At 33.2% G+C, this 17,571-nt stretch overlaps 1 long non-coding RNA gene across 1 annotated transcript in view; it reads left to right on the forward strand.

Moving 5' to 3' along the window:
* Nucleotides 1-2,618: 2,618 nt before the first annotated feature.
* LINC01821 (long intergenic non-protein coding RNA 1821) overlaps nt 2,619-17,571 on the forward strand; it is a 75,363-nt gene continuing 60,410 nt past the window's right edge. Inside the window, exon 1 of the long non-coding RNA NR_110222.1 lies at nt 2,619-2,669. This is a non-coding gene — a long non-coding RNA (long intergenic non-protein coding RNA 1821). The remainder of the gene's footprint in view (nt 2,670-17,571) is intronic.

Genomic DNA, 17,571 nt, shown 5'->3' on the forward strand with positions numbered 1-17,571 from the left:
TTAAAATTTTATAAAAACACAGTAATAAAATCACAAAAATGTTTAGCACTTTGAGTATGTAAAAAATGTTTTATATTTTATTTTTCAATGGCACTTAATGAGTAGTGTATGTCAACTATGTGTTAGGTACTATGTTGTATGAGCAGTGACTTTAAGGGCCTCACTGTTCAGTGAGGAAGACAAAATTTAACTACTCGAAGTTTAGAAATAAAAAAAAATTATCAAAAGAAAAAATCATTGAGAAGTTGAATGGATTAAAATAGCTATTTGGAAAATAAAGGAAAGCAGGTAGAATATGAATTATGATTCAGGGAAGCATAAGGAAGGGAATTTGTAAATATGCGAGAGATAATGTGGACTGGTGATGGTCAAAACAAATGGGAGAATACAGGGAATTGGGGAAAAGGGTTACAAAGAGATAGAGGTCAAAGTTTACAAAGTTTCTTGAAATGCAGTGACTATAGGGCTTGATAGGAAGTATAAAAGCGATATAAATTATTAAGTGGCAGTGGCATCATGAAAGGAGCTGTTAGTAGAAATATTTCTTCCCCACTCCTGATGTTGTCTTCTATGCGGAAGGCCTCTTCTTGTCCCTCACTCTTTTTGTCCCAGGAGTCCCAGAGTTTAACTGATTGGTAAACTGAAAAATAATATTTAAGTTTCCCGCCCACATTAATAAGCCTGCCTTTAACTTCCCCCTGGTCCTCCTGGATGAAGCCACTTCCCTGGGGTCTGGGCCAGTTTAGAACTTCCTCTGCTTTAGGTTGATAAGTTTGCCAAATTCTTGGGTTTGGGTATCAGTCATATTTAATTAGATTCCTCAACATTGTCTTTATTGGTATATTGATATTTTGTCATCCAATTTGCTTTATGTTTTTGTCTTATTTTTTAATTTGTTGAGAATTTGAGAAGAGAAAAAGGGTGTCTTTATCAGACCAGTTAACAGACTCTCACATGAGTATGTCAGGAAAAATAGTCTGGTAAATTGGTAAATTGAGCCAAGTATGGAATGGAGGGTAAAGATGCAGCTAAGCAGCTAATTAAAAAGAGATTTCAGTGTTCAGTCATATGTGAAATAGAACAAGGTGTGGCTTTAAAAATATAGATGAAAAGTACATTTCCCAGAAAAGAGAAAGAGAAATTCTAATGTGTAAAAAATAAAGAATATGTAGAATTTAGATAATCAAAGATATAGCTTTGTGCACTTGAAGAGTAGCAGTTCATTAAAGAACAGTTTGGTCTCAAAAGTTTTTTTTTTCTTTTTTTTGTACATGTCTTCACTTATTTAAAAATATGTTCTTGGTTGAGGCTTATGATTTTTAATCATGCATTAAAATTTATCATGTCCAACTATAATGAGATGTTTTCAAAACAAGTTAATCAACATTTGCATTTCCACCATTAGCTTACTTCTTAATTGTGGTTCTAATCAAAACTGAATAAACTTTACCAAAGAAGAAAATTTACAGTCTTTACATATACTGAAAGATACAGAGGAGTCTGCTAATTAAGTTATAACAACTTTTCCCAAGTTTACATTTGTATCACAGAAAGAAATAGAGGGGAGGAAAGCAGGATAGAAAATCTAATAAAACTAGTTTCTCCCCAGTCAAAAAAAAAACAAAAAAACATGCCTGGGCAAATTTGTAACTTGAGTTCCAGTTCATGAAATGTGTTGCAGTAGGCCAGTCATATTTCATCTGGGAGGTCTAGAATTGCAGTTTCAAATAAGGTGTGGAGGTTTGTAAGTCAAGAGAGAAGAATGCTGTACTTCATAGTGGCTCACACTGGTAGTTATTTTATGAAACGAGGTTTATAACGTTAGCAATGAAAAGGTGAATTATCCAAATCACCTAGTTGTTTCCCTCTAGTATTACCTTCAATAAGTGTTTAAATCATTCAGATAGGCTTTACCGTGTCAACAGAATCATTAAGATCAATAAAAACAGTAATAATAAAAATAATGATATTCAAAATGACATTATTTAATTATAGATTACTACGTCAGATATTTTTTCTAAGCAATATTGTTGATTTTAACTATATCTATTTTGAATCTCTTAAACAATAGGTATACATTGTGTGTTTGTGTGGGGGTATGCACAGGCATATGCAGTAAGTGTTTGAAAGTCTTTCTCCTCCAGTAAAACAATGATAAAAATTTTTGAATTTGATGAAGCTGCTATTAGCATAATAACTGGACAAAAATATAGATATAGTTATGTTAAGACATTTATGTATAACTCTTTTTCATGCTATTATACTTTTTAATAAATTCAGAAGAAATAGAGGTGTTTAGCTTTCATAAGAAGTACTCTATACCTTTTAAATTTGTAAAAACTGTCTACGGCCATGCCACCCTGAATGCGTCCACACTTATCTAAGTTTATAAAAACTTACATGACTGCAGTGGTTAGCTAATGACATGAGTAAGTAAATGAACTCTGTGAAGATTAGGAAGGGCCAAGATGAAATGGGAGAGATTGAATTACAAATTAACAAACTGAAAGAAAAACTCAAGTTGCAAAAAGATAGTCTCAGAGACAGCAGTAACACCTTCTGGCTATAGTCTATTTTCATCTTTCTCATCCTAGTGTTATCAAGAGAAAAACAGTCTTAGATGCAACATAAAAATTTCAGAGACAGAAGAAATCTTCCTTTGAGGGCAGGTAAGCCAATTAATATTCTGCTTTGTAACAGATTATATATCCCAGTCAAAATAGAAATCAATGACTTGTAATGTTTTATGTTTGTTTATTTTTTGTAAATATAGAAGCATAAGTTATCATTATCCAAAAGTCCCATAGATGCAAGAAACCAAATCAAAATATACCAGAATTAAAAGGGTGTAAACAAAAAACTGACACTTCATAATATCGATTAGAGGTACAGACTCTGGAGCCAGACTAAAGATTAAATCATGTCTCTGAACTACTGGGCTGAATAACCTTAAGCAAGTTACTTAACCTCTCAGTTCCTCCATTTCATCATCTAGAAAATAGGAATAATCACAGTACATACTTTATAATGAGGGATATAGTGAGGGATAATGAGGATTAAACGTGTACCAATAATACTATCATTCTTTATGACTATGTTTACATTATGTAAATAAAACCTACTTATAACTTGAATAAAGAAAATTTTCAAGCATATTTAATTATATAATTCCTTATAATGCCTGAAAACCTCATAAAATCTAATTCATATCAATCATTGGGGTGAATTACAAACCATTTTCTATTTGTTAAACAGACATACATAAATATCCTCAATGGTGTTAAGGCTTGAGAAAACTACCATTTGTTTCCATAATACAAAGTAATTTGTAAAAATCAAATAATTCAATTATAGCCTATCTAGGATATTTTCTGAAAATATTACAAAGACTTTTCAAATTGTCAGGCTATTCTTATACATTCACATTTACATCATTTTTATGTGTAGTGCAGTACAATTCATACATTAACCTAATACTGAGATCTGCAATACAGAACTTTGTCAGAACTTGAAATCTGGTTATAGTATTAAATTAATAGAACACTAATGAAACTGAAATGCTGTTGGGATCAGTCCAAAATGATTTTATTTTCCCAATCACTTCGCTTTTTTGTTGCTTGAGATTTTCATTTGGACTCAGGGCACAGAAGATTCTTTCCTTTTTATATTTGCACAAGAGGAATAAAATGCTGCAATGACAAAACAGAAATTAAAATAATTAATTTGTACTAGAACTTGGGACAATTATAGACACTAAGAAAGGAAATAAATCATAAGGACATCATTTTTATGAATATGTAGAGGGCTGTAGATATGAATGATATGTAATTTATATACTCAGGCTTCTCATTTATTTTATTGTAGAGAATTGGGTCTTCAGATTTCAGTAGTTAATGATTAGTTAACACAGAGCACCTGGATTTAGTGTACAGATTATGCAACTCAAAAAATACTAGCAAAACTTAGAAATCAGATGGAGAAATGAAAATTCTCAATTATCTTTGTGATTCAAAAGGCAGACAAGGTTTGTTTTTAAAGTACGTTAAAAATAAGATATGTTTCTGTGCCGTATAAGAACAGAAAAAATAATGTTTTCTTTAATTTATACTTTATTGTTCATTGGCATATTTGGCAAATACAAAACTGGTGTTTACAACCGTAGTTATGAGATAAGCATATACACAGCCGACGAAATAAGCTAATTTTCAGATAAAAGGCACTGTGAAAGGATTAGCAAAGCACATGCTCTTTTGTCTTTCTTGTTGAAACACATTATATCATGTATCAATATATACTCTAAAGTTAAAACATACATCAGCAAACCTTATATGAAATATTTATGAAAGAACTGTGACTTTGCATGCATTGTACAGTGAATGCAAAGCTCAAGAATAGAACAGATTGATATTATAAACTTCTGTTGATAATATTGGCAGGAACACTCTGAAATACCTGTTACAAATGAAAAAAAAGAAGCCATCTCTTTGATTATTCAGAGAATGCATACTATCTCATGTAAAAGAGTAAATTGATGTAATTTTTCCTAGAATTTAAAAAATAAATTGTAAGAAAATACCTGCTCTTTTCTATTATTCTTTAACTGTGTCTTCAGTAGTACTTTGTGCTATAATTTAGCCAATTTGCCTATGTTTTATTGTTCCTCGTCTCCTGCTTCCAGTGCACTATTTCCCTTTGATTGAGGAGTTGCTATGACAGAAGATAATGGAGCTTATGGCACTCAGTGGGGAGCCTGTCACTGCTGACTCTGGCTGCTGCTTTTGTATTTCTTTGCATGTACTCCTCTGATTTTCTCAGGCACAGTGAGAAATAATTATAAAAGCCATGAGCCATTATAAAATGTTATACCACCAAATGGTTATTTTTAAGAGCCTTTCAATCTTCTAGGTCTCTTTGTTTATCCATAGAAGTGGTAAATTGTATCATTATTTTTCATTCAAGCTGAAGCATAGGGAGGAGAGATTGTTTTCTGCCTTTGGGGAGGCAATCTTTTGTTGTGTACAGTTTATATTACTTTTTATTTTACCTCTCATCTCATCAATCAAAAATCTTATGCATCTTGTATCTTCTATGCAAAGTCTTCCTTTTCTGACCTTGCTGAGGTTGTCTGCTGTTAATTCCCATGTCAGGACCAAGACATTTTTTGAGGATGATCTGGTAGACATAACTAGTGTTCACCAATATCCAGTTCTCATTCCTTCTCTGCACAAGGAAGACAATCCTTTTTAGCCCACTTCTATATGAGATTGGTTCAGAAAACCAGTCTGACCAATGAAATATGAGGCACATGATATCTGTCACTTCCGGAATGTGGAAAATGTCATTGATGAATCCCTATACTTTCGCTCCCGGCATAGCAACCAAGGAGACCTGATGTCCTAATGATGCAGCTACAGAATTTGATATTTCCGTAAGTCTTTGTCTCCCAAACATACATACCATTGTTTAGACATATAGGACATGTAGTGGAAGTTAGCACTTATCTTTTGTTTCCTAAGCCACAGAAATTTTAGCATAATCCTTTCTAATACAAACTAGCAAGATGTATGGTTATGGCAGGATTAAAACATGCTGTCACACGCATCTCTGTATAGCAGATTCCTAGAGAAAACCAAGGAGAGAAGGAACTAACGAAGTGCAGAGAAAAATGTAACCTAGATAAAGAGGCAGTGGGACAATTTGGAAAGAGAATAAGCTTGGATTCTAACCCTACTAACTTAATACTGTGTGCCATTCAACAAGTTATTTAATATTTTGACTCTCATTTTCTTTAGCTTTAAAATAGAGGATAATAGTATCTTGATAAACTGATAATGAATTTCAATACAATATTAACATATTAAAAAGCCAAATGATACATGTATGTGTGTATATATAGCTAATTCTATGTATAGATATAATACACATACACGTACGTCTATCCATCTACCTGTGTGTGTATGTGCATGTGGAAATGACTTATCTTTTCTACCATTTATTGTTTTACACTAGGCTCTCTAAGTCTTAACTTTGTCATTTGTAAAATGGAGAGTTTGATAAAAATATCTGATATATAGATTTTTGTAACAAGTAAATGGTATATTGAATACAATACAAATTGCAAAGTCTATAAGATATTGGATACTCAAATATATTAGCTATTATACTTATTATAGTCCCATAAATATGTTAAAATATATAGGCTAATTGGTAAAACAATAATACATAAAAACTTTTATCCTTTCAAAACGGTAAAGAGTTTTGTTTTTTTTTTTTTTTCTCACTAGCTTAAGATGTCTTTTAACATAAGTTTGAATACCTTCAGTTTTGCTGTTTATTTTAATGTTCTCTTTAAGGTTAGTCAGCATATTGTTGAGAAAAAAATTTGAGTTCACACTATCTTGTTGAACTCTTCAATACACTTTTATCTCTCAGAAGAAACCCAGTTAGTCTAGGGATTGTTGAAATTTAAACTGGTTGTCTTGCTGCTAGACCAAACTCAACCCTCCAATTTCTGCAAAAAGTAAAGTGAATATGAAGTAAAGTGAATGCCAGGTTAGAAACTACAAATTCAAAAGTAAAATCACGCGATGTATTTTTTGACAATTAAGACCATACATTATTAATCTTTATCCCTTAGCATATAATATCGCCCACTCATTGTGATAAGTATTGTAAATAACTTTGTAAATGCAATGTATCACTTAAGATACATTTTCAGGATTTGTAGGTTCTTTTTCAGTGTTCTTCATTTTCCTCCTTTAGATGCTTTTTTCATTCCACAAAAGTAAAGTTTATTAATTTCTATAAAGTGTTCTTGAGTTATTCTTTACATGACCAATGTTAAATAATGCCAGCAGACAAGTGAACATGATACCAAAATAAACCATATCATTTAGGTCCTGTTTTTTTAAAAAATGCAATAGACTTCCACTATTTAATCCGTTGTCTTCAACCTCATGTTTCATTGACCAATTTCCATCCTGAGGCCCTTACACGAAAATATATCAATGTTCTATACAACACAAATAAGCATAAGGGAAGCAAAAAGTAAATATAATATTTTATTATATGTTTCCTATGAGCAGAAATGTTTTAGGTAAACTTTTTGGCAAGAAACAACAAATAATTATTTTGGAATTAAAAACCAATGGGAAAAAAAAATAAATCTTCTAGATTCTTTGATCTAACTTAGTGGCAAGTAACAACTCTGAGAATCAATCATGTAGCAAAACATATACTGTATAATCAGTGGTTTAAAATTATTGTCATCCAGTATCTGAATTCTCTAAGAGATGTTAGCCAAAATAATTTTGCATCAAAGTGTCAAATCCAAAACAACTTCCCACAAAAACTCATGTTTATTGACCTTATTTTGATCGTGTTAGCAAAAATTGATTGACTATATCTAAGTGTCCTTTTTCTCCTAATATAACTCTATATTTGAGAAACTATAGCAAATATTAAATCTGACAAATGCTTACAATAGAAAGACTTTACCCATACTGTTAAGACGGATAACTTTTTTATAGTTTCAAATAAGAAAGTAGCTTGTTGAGTCACATGATATAATATTCATAGCTTACAAAAATGCAACTGAATTTGTGATAAATTAAGGCACTTTCAGATTTATATTTATTATACCAAAAGTTCACCTTGGAATCCTGGATTGACAATAATATTGATTTGATGAAAAAAGACTGTTTTCTCAAGTGGCTTTTTAAAAATTACTTAACAGATACATAGATAGATAAAGATAACAAATCCTATTTGTTTTTAAATTACTTGGGCTGGTTCAAGGATATTAACCATAAACTCATTACATTCTAAGGGTGAAAATTCAGAAGTATTGTTTGAATCCCAAGCCATTTTCTGGCTTGATTTAACATTATTTTATAAAATTTAATACTTATACCCCTTTGAGTTACGATATTTTCATGTCATAGCTTTTCTATTAAAGTGTGTGTGTGTATGTGTGTGTGTGTGTGTGTGTGTGTGTATCTGTTGTGTTATTTTTTCTTTTTTTTTTTTTTGGTGGGGGGATGTTCTTCATTAGGAGGCAGCATAATGTAGTTAAACAACTTTACTCCAGGATTTCACAGACTTGAATTTAATACTAGCTCAATAACTTAGTATTTACTGATTTTGTTTGACTTGTTTGGACTCTAAATGACTGAATATCTTCACCCACAAAATAGGGTTTGTGAAAGTCATTGATTCAAAGGGTGTTCATAAAAATGAAATCAGATTGTGAATCAAAATATTTAGCTCATTTTCTAGCACTTGCAAACAATAAACTACAGCTAGCACTGTGATCACAGTTCTATTTCTGAACCCACGATGTTAAATGCTTACTATTTTTCAAAGTGTGTACAGTTTTACAACGTATGAGTGGATGACTGTGTCATTTAAATGCTTATCCTACGTGATGTTTTGATTTTCTATTCCACAGTCTTCTATAATCATTCAGATAAATTCTGTACCTTTGTAATTTTGAAATTTTGAGTGACATTATTTTCTGGACCCTAAAAAATCATTTGTATACTTTATATATTTTATCACTACATTGTTTATCTTGATTTGTTTGGTCAATTTAAATTTTAAAATATTATAAAGTTTAATAACTTATTTAAGTTAATCTATTGATACAATACCAATATTTATTCTTATATCAAAATATGTTGTTTTTTCCTCAATCTGTTAATTTAATGAGTTTCACATAAGCTTAGCTGTTAGGGTTTCCTAGTGTGGTGGTTAATACTGAGTGTCAACTTGATTGGATTGAAAGACACTAAGTAATGATCCTGGGTGTGTCTGTGAGGTGTTGCCAAAGGACATCAACATTTGAGTCAGTGGGCTGGGAAAGGTAGACCCACCCTTAATCTGGGTGGGCAAAATCTAATCAGCTTCCAGAGAGGCTAGGATATAAGCATGCAGAAAAATCTGAAAAAAGAGACTAGCCTAGCCTCGCAACCTACATCTTTCTCCCATGCTGGATGCCTCCTGCCCTTGAACACCAGACTCCAAGTTCTTCAGTTTTGGAACTCAGACTGGCTCTCCTTGCTCCTCAGCCCACAGATGGCCTATTGTGGGACCTTGTGATCGTGTGAGTTAATACTTAATAAACATAAATAAATATATATATATGGTATATATATGTATTATATGTGTGTGTGTATATACACACACACACATAATGTGTATATATTGTACACATGTGTATACATACACGTTTACACATACATGTATATCCCATTAGTTCTGTCCTTCTAGAGAACCCTAATACATCTACCAACTTACATCTAGGTTCTCACCACTCATCTCTATTTGGAAATTTTTTATAAATCTGCTCTATTGAAACCTTATCAATTTACTGACTCCTTCTACTAATAATATAGTCAGTTGCTTAATTTTTTGAAATTTGTTTTTATTGCATATTTTAAGGTGTACAACATATTCTAACATACATATACATGGTGAAATATTTACTATAGTAAAAGAAATTAACATATTCCTCACCTTCCCTAGATACTCTTTTGTGTGTGTGGTAAAAGCACCAAAAATTTACTCTCAGCAAGTGCTCAGTATAAAATACAATATTATTAACTAAAGTCCTGAAGTTCTTCTTTATTTGACTTTTTTTTTTAAGATTGCACATATAAATGAGGCCATGCAATATTTTTACTGAGTCTGGCTTATTCCACTTAGCATAATGTCCTCTAGTTTCATTCATGTTGTCACAAATGGCAGTGTCTTTTTAATTATAGGTCTGAAGAGTATTATATTGTGAATATATGCCACAATTTCTTTATTAATTCATCCATCAGTGGACACTTAGATTGTTTCCACATCTTGGCTATTATAATACTGCAATGAACATGGGAATGAAGATATCTCTATGAGGTATTAATTTCATTTTAACTTTTTCTTTGTTTCCTTTGCATTACTGTATTACCCATGCTTTTGGAAACAAATTGTTTACACTTATTATTGCTTCTTTCTCACCTCCATTAAGTTCTTAGAATATTATAATCTAGTTTTCATATCTAATAAATAAGGTTTCCCTTACTAATTATAAGAAAACTTATTTATTTGCTTAAATTGATAGATAAAATTGTGTGTATTTATTGTGTACAACATGATATTTTGAAGATTATATACATTGTGGAATAATTAAAACTAGGTAACAAATGTAGTACTTCACATAGTTATTATTCATGTAATAAGAACCCTTATCTACTATCTTTGCATTTTTCAAAAATACAGTGTATGGTCATTAACTATAGTCATCATGCTGTGCAATAAAACTTTTGACCTTATTTCTCCTATCTAACTGTAATTACATATCCTTTGACCAACATCTTCCCATTCTCTTCCTTTCCCTAACCATCCAAGCCCTGTCATTTGTGAAAACATGAATGAACTTGTAAAACTTTATGTTATATGTAATAAGCCAGGCACAGAAAAACACATACCACATGATTTCACTCATGTTCAGAATCTAAAAAAGTTGACCCCATAAAAGTAGAGAGTAGAATGCTGGTTACCAGAAGAAAAATTTCTATATTGCTTTACCTAATAGACATTTGAAATTTTAAGACTCTCTAGCTTTGGAAGTCCCCACTCTATTCTTCAATGGCTTCCCTTCCCTAGTGTTATGAAAATACTTACAGCAATTCCTGTTGATGTTTTCTCCTAAATATCATTCAGTACATCATATTTCTTCATCCCACCACTGTAGACTGATTGAATTGTTCAAAAGATAAAAAGATATAACCAAGAAAATGTTTAACAGAGTCTTTAGAAAAAAAAAAGCACCCAATATATGTTAATTTCTATTCTTTAGCTTTCTAAAATTTTCATACTGGCATTCTTGTGACAGTTCCTCAGAGCTCTATTACCCCATCCAATTTATCATTACTTTCTCCATAAGGCTGATCTTCTACAAGAGACATAAACTTATAAGTCATCTCTAATTTCAGTTCTTTATTTTTTACGTGTTCTTCAATGATTAGACACTGACATAAAAATCAGGCATACAATAATTTTTGCTTAATAAGCAGAATTATGCCTCCACTTCAAGATTTTCTTATCCTAATTCCTGAACATGTTACTTTACAAGAAAAAAGACTTTGCATAAATGATTATACTAGGCACCTTGAAATGAAGAGATTATACCAGATTGTCCACTGGGAACAATCTAATTACATAGGACTTTAAAATGGAAGATGTTTTCTGGTATGGTCAGAAAATGTGACTGTGGAATAATGGCCGGACATGTGCAGCATTGCTGACTTTGAGGATGAACAATTATTTACTCTTCTTCACTGCAAGCAGTCAGTAGAAGTTTTTTTGTTTAAAAAACGGGAAAAGATTTTCCTCTAGAGCCTCCAGAAGAGATTGTAGCCAGCTGGTGCCTTGATTTTAATCCAGTAAGGCTCGTATTACATTTCAAACCTACAGAACTCTATGATAATATATTTATATCTATGTTGTATATATATTTATATTGTACATATATTGTACATATATATTGTTTTAAGCTGCTGCATTTCCGGCCATTTTTACATCAGCCACAGAAAGCCAATACAGTTTGCTCTGTGGATTTTGTCCAAGTTATAAGGGAATCACCCATCCCTCTGGTTGGAACTTGGGCTTAAGTGCTCTGAGGTTCTAAATAAACTTGAAAGGCAGTCTAGGCCACAATGAAGGCAATTCCTAGGCATGTAGTGGTGCTGTGCCGAGCTCAAAGCCAGTGGACTTGGGGAGCATACAATCTAGTGAGACACCAGCCAGGGTGGCCAGGGGAGTGTTTGTACACTCCTCACCTAACCTCAGGCAGCATAGCTCAGAAGTCCAAACAAGACTCTTTCCTTCTGATTGAGAAGAGGATAGGGAAGAGTAAAAATGACTTTGTCTTGCAACTTGAATATCAGCTCAGCCACAGTAGAATAGGACACCAGACAGGTTCATGAGGCCCCCATTCCAGGCTTTGGCTCCCAGATGACATTCCAGACACACCCAGGGCCAAAAAGGAACCTGCTAGCTGGAAGGGAAGGACCCAGTACTGACAGGAACACCTGCTTACTAAAGAGCCCTTGGGCCCTGAATAATCAGCAGTAGTAACCAGTTATTACATGGTATGTGCCTTGGGCGAGACTTTGGGATGCGGTGGCTTCAGGTGTGACCCAGCACACCTGTGGAGGCTATGAGGTGAGACTCCTTGAGAAAAGCAGAGAGAAAAGTAAAGGGGACCTTGTCTTGCAGCTTAGGTACCAGCTTGGCCATAGTGCGGAAGAACAACAAGTAGGTACTAGGGCCTTGGATTTTGGATAGGATTTCTAGACTTACTCTGGGCCATAGGGGAGACCACTACCCTGAAGAGTGAGCCTGGAAGCATTCACCACAAGCTGACTGAAGAGCCCTTGGGTCTTCAGTGAACATCAGCAGTGCGCTGGCAGTACACCCTATGGGCCTATGGTAGTGGAGCACAGGGGGAGAAACTCCTCCGCCTGGGGAAAGGAAAGGAAAATTAGGATAGACTTTGCTTGTGATTTCAGTGCCAGCTCAGCCACAGTAGAATAGAGCACCAAGTGGATTACTAAGTTTTCTGACTCCAGGAACAACATACCTGGAGCCACCTGGGGCCCAAGGAAACTCGCCACCCTGAAGGGAAGGAATCAAAACTGGCTGGGTTTACTATCTGCTGATTGTACATCCCTAGCGCCTTGGTCTGACCCAGCACAGCTCAGGTGGTGGTGGCCACAGGGGTGCTTGTGGACTCCACCTAGTTCCAGGCAGCTCAGCACAGAGAGAAAGAGAGAAATTCCATTTGTTTGGGAAAAAGTAAGTAATGAAAACAAAAGTCTCTGCCCAATAATCCAGATCATTCTTTGGGATCTGATTCAAGACCACTGAAGTGGTATCTCTATGAGTCTGCTAGAGTGACAGTGTTATTGGGCTTAGGATTTCCCATAATGCACATAAGGCTGGAATGACCAAAAACTTAGATTACAGCACCTGAATCCCTTAGAAAACATGGAAAACTTCCCCAGGAAAGACGGTTAAAAACAAGCTCAGGCTGCAACGATTACAATAAATACATAACTCTTCAATGCCCAGACACCAATGAATATCCAGAAGCATCAAGACCATCCAGAAAAACATGAGCTCACCAAATGATCTAAATAAGGTAGCAGTGACCAACTCTGAAGAAACAGAGACATGTGACCTTTAGATAGATAATTCAAAATAGCTGTTTTGAGGAAACTCAAAGAAATTCAAGGTGACGTAGGGAAAGAATTCACATTTCTATGAGATAAATTTACCAAGGAAAATAGAAATTAAAAAGAATCAAGCAGAAATTCTGGAGTTGAAAACCACAAGTGGCATAATGAAGAATGCATCCAAGTCTCTTAATGTCAGAATTGATAAAGCAGAACAAAGAATTAGTGAGCCTGAAAACAGGCTATTCGAAAATACACATTCAGAAGAGACAAAAGAATAAAGAAGAAAAAAGAATAAAGCATGCCTACAAGATCTAGAAAATAGCCTCAAACGGGCAAATCTAAGAGTTGTTGGCCTTAAAGATAAGACAGAGGAAGACTAGAATAAAAGACAGAAGACCCAAAACAATAAAATCAGAGATGAGAAAGGAGACATCACAACCAATGGCACAGAAATTCAAAGGATCATTAGAGGCTACTATGAGAAAATATATGTCAATAAATTGACAAACTTAGAAGAAATAGACAAATTTCTAGACAAATACAACCTACCAAGATGAAACTGGAAGGAATCTAAAACTTGAACAGACTGACAAATAATGGGATTGAAGCCATAATAAAATGCCTCCCTGCAAATAAAAGATCAGGGCCTGAGGGCTTTGCTGCTTAATTCTACCACATATAAATAAAAACTCATACCAATCCTACTAAAAGTGTTCTGAAAAATAGAGGAAGAGGGAGTACTTCCAAACTCATTCTACAAGGCCAGTGTTATGCTGATAGCAAAACCAGACAAAGACCCGTCAAAAAAAGAAAGCTACAAGGCAATATCTGATAAATATTTGTGCAAAAATTCCCAACAAAGTATTAGCAAACAGAATTCAACAACACATTAAAAATATTATTCATCACAACCAACTGGAATTTATCCCAGGGATGCAAGGATGGTTCAACATATGTGAATCAATCAATGTAATATATCAATAGAATGAAGGACAAAAAACATACGATCATTTCAATTGATGCCGAAAAAGCAATTGATAAAATTCAACATCCCTTCATGATAAAATCCCTCAAAGAAACTGAGTATAGAAACAATATGCCTCAACATAATAAAAGTCATATTTGATAGACCCATAGCTAATATTATAGTGAATGTAGAAAAACTTAAAGCCTTTCCTCTAAGATCTGGAACACAACAGGATGCCCACTTTTGCCATTCTTACTTAACATAGTACTGGAAGTGTTAGCAAAAGCAATCAGACAAAAGAAAGAAAAGGCATCCAAATTGAAAAGGAAGAAGTCAAATTATCCTTGTTTGCAGATAATATTATATTAAGAAAAAACTAAAGACTCCACCAAAACAACTGTTAGAACTGATAAATAAATTCAGGAAAGTTGCAGGATACAAAATCAACATACAAACATCAGCAGCATTTCTATATGCCAACAGTGAACCATCTGAAAAAGAAATCAAGAAATAATCCCATTTTATGATAGCCACAAATAAAATTAAATACCTATAGATGAACTTAACCAAGGAAGTGAAAGATCTTGACAATAAAAGCTATTTAAGATGTTCATGAAAGAAATTAAAGAGGACATACAAAAATAGAAATATAATTCATTTTCATGGTTTGAAAGATTTAATGTTGTTAAAATTTGCATTTTACCCAAAGGAACCTAAAGATTCATTTCAATCCCTATCATAAAATTCTTCAAACAAATAGAAAAAACCTTCCTAACATTTATATGGAACCACAAAAGACCCCTGACAGTTAAATATATTCTGAGCAAGAACAACAACAACAACTAAAAAAACTAGATAAATCACATTATCTGGCTTCAAATTCTATTACAGAGCTACAGCAAACAAAACAGCATGGTACTAGCATAAAAATAGACATATAGACCACTGGAACAGAATAGAGAATCCAGAGACAAATTCATACATCTATAGGCGTCTACAGGGAACTCATTTTGGACAAAGATGTCAAAAACATACACTGAGGAAAGGAGTCTCTTCAATAAATGTTGCTGGGAAAACTGGATATCCACATGCAGAAGAATGAAACTAGACCACTCTCTCTCACCATATACAAAAATCAAATCAAAATGAACTAAAGTCTTAATTCTAAGACCTCAAACTGTTAAAATACTACAAGAAAACATTGAGAAAATTCCCCTAGGACATTGGTCTGGGCAAAAAATTTCTTGAGTAATACCCGCAAGCACAGGAAACCAAAGCAAAAATGGGCACATGGAGTCACATCAAGTTAAAAAGCTTCTGCACAGCAAAGGAAACAATCAACACAGTGAAAAGACAATCCAAAGAATGGGAGTAAGTATTTACAATTATCTATCCAACAAAGAATTAATAACAAAGATATATAAGGAGCTCAAACAACTCTGTAAGAAAAAAATCTAATCATCTAATTTAAAAATGGGCAAAAGTTCTGATTAGATGTGTTTCAAAAGATGACGCACAAGTGGAAAACATATATAAAAATATGCTCAACACCACTGATCATCAGATAAATGCAAATCAAAACTACAATAAGATATCATCTCACCCCAGTTAAAATGACTTTTATCCAAATGACATACAATAAGAAATGCTAGAAGGATATGGAGAAAAGTCAACCCTCATACACTGCTGGGGGAAATGTATATTTGTGCAACTACTATGAAGAACAGTTTGGAAGTTCCTCAAAAATAGAACTACCATACTATCCAGCAATCCCACTGCTAGGTATATACCCAAAAGAAAGGAAACCAGTATATCAAAGAGATTCCTGCACTTCCACATTTTTTTGCAGCATTATGTACAATATTGAAGATTGGAAGCAACCCAAGTGCACATCAACAGATGAAAAGATAAAGAAGATGTACATATATGCAATGGAATCCTATTCAGTCATAAAACAATGAGATCCTGTCATTTGCAACAACATGGTTGGAACTGGAGGTAATTATGTTAACTTAAAAATGTCAGGCACAGAAAGATAAACCACATGTTCTCACTTATTTGTGGGAGCTAAAAATTAAGATAATCAAACTCATGAAGATATAGAGTAAAATGATGATTACTAGAGGCTGTGAAGGGTAGGTAGGAGGTGGGAGGGAAGTGTGGATGGTTAATGGTAACAAAAAGAATGACTAAGATCTAGTATTTGACAGCATAAAAGGGTGACTATAGTCAATAATAATTTATTGTATACTTTTAAATAACTAAAAGTATATTGGATTGTTTGTAATACAAAGGATAAATTCTTGAGGTGATGGATACCCCATTTACCCTGGTACAATTATTACACATTGTATGCCTATATCAAAATATCCTTTATATCCCATAAATATACACACCTATTATGTACCCAGAAAAAAAAATATGTTTTTTTTTTAAAGGCAAAAAACAGCAGTTGTTCCTGAGGATTTGGAGAAAGGAGAACTTTTATACACTATTAAAAGGAATGTAAATGAGTACAGCCACTATGGAAAACAGTTTATAGAATTTTCCAAAAACTAAAATATAACTACCACGAGATCCAGCAATCCCGCTACTGGGTATTTATCCAAAGAAAAATAAATCAGTATATCAAAGGGATACCACTCCCATATTTATTGAAACAGTATTTACAATAGCAAAGATATGGAATCAACCAAAGTGTCCAAAAATGAATAAAGAAAATGTACATTCCATTGTACATCACTTTCTGTGAATTCTTTCACAACACAGTTAAGCAATTATACATTCATTTATGTCCATATATGTACAAAAACATATGAAATATATAATATTAATAAAGATATAGAAATAATAAACAAGGCCTAATTGAAATTCTAGGTTAAAAAGTACAATAACTGAATAGAAGGATTCACTAGAAGACCTTAAAAGTATATGGTAACAAGAATAAAAATAAATCAATAAATTTGAGGCAAGATTGGTAGACATTATGTAATCTGAAGAACACAGAGAAAAAAGAATGAAGAAAAGTGAATAGACCCTCAAAGAAATGTGTAATATCATTAAGGGCAGCAAGACACACATATTGGAGTACAAGAAGAAAGGAAGGGAGGAAAAATAAGGAGAGAGAGCAAAAGACAGAGATGGAGAGTAGAAAAATATTTGAAGAACGAATGGGCTAAACTTTCCAAATATGATTTAAAAAATTAATCTACATGTACAAGAAGTTCAGTTAACATCAAGTAGAAAAAATGCAGATCAACACCCATACACATCCTAGTGAAATGTTGCCAGCTAGATAGAGAGAATACATTGAAAGAAATTAAAGCAATCATTTATTTACAAGGTAATCACCATAAGTTAGCAGTTCACTTTTCACCT

This window comes from Homo sapiens, chromosome 2 (genome assembly GCF_000001405.40).
Source record: "Homo sapiens chromosome 2, GRCh38.p14 Primary Assembly".
Taxonomy (NCBI): domain Eukaryota; kingdom Metazoa; phylum Chordata; class Mammalia; order Primates; family Hominidae; genus Homo; species Homo sapiens.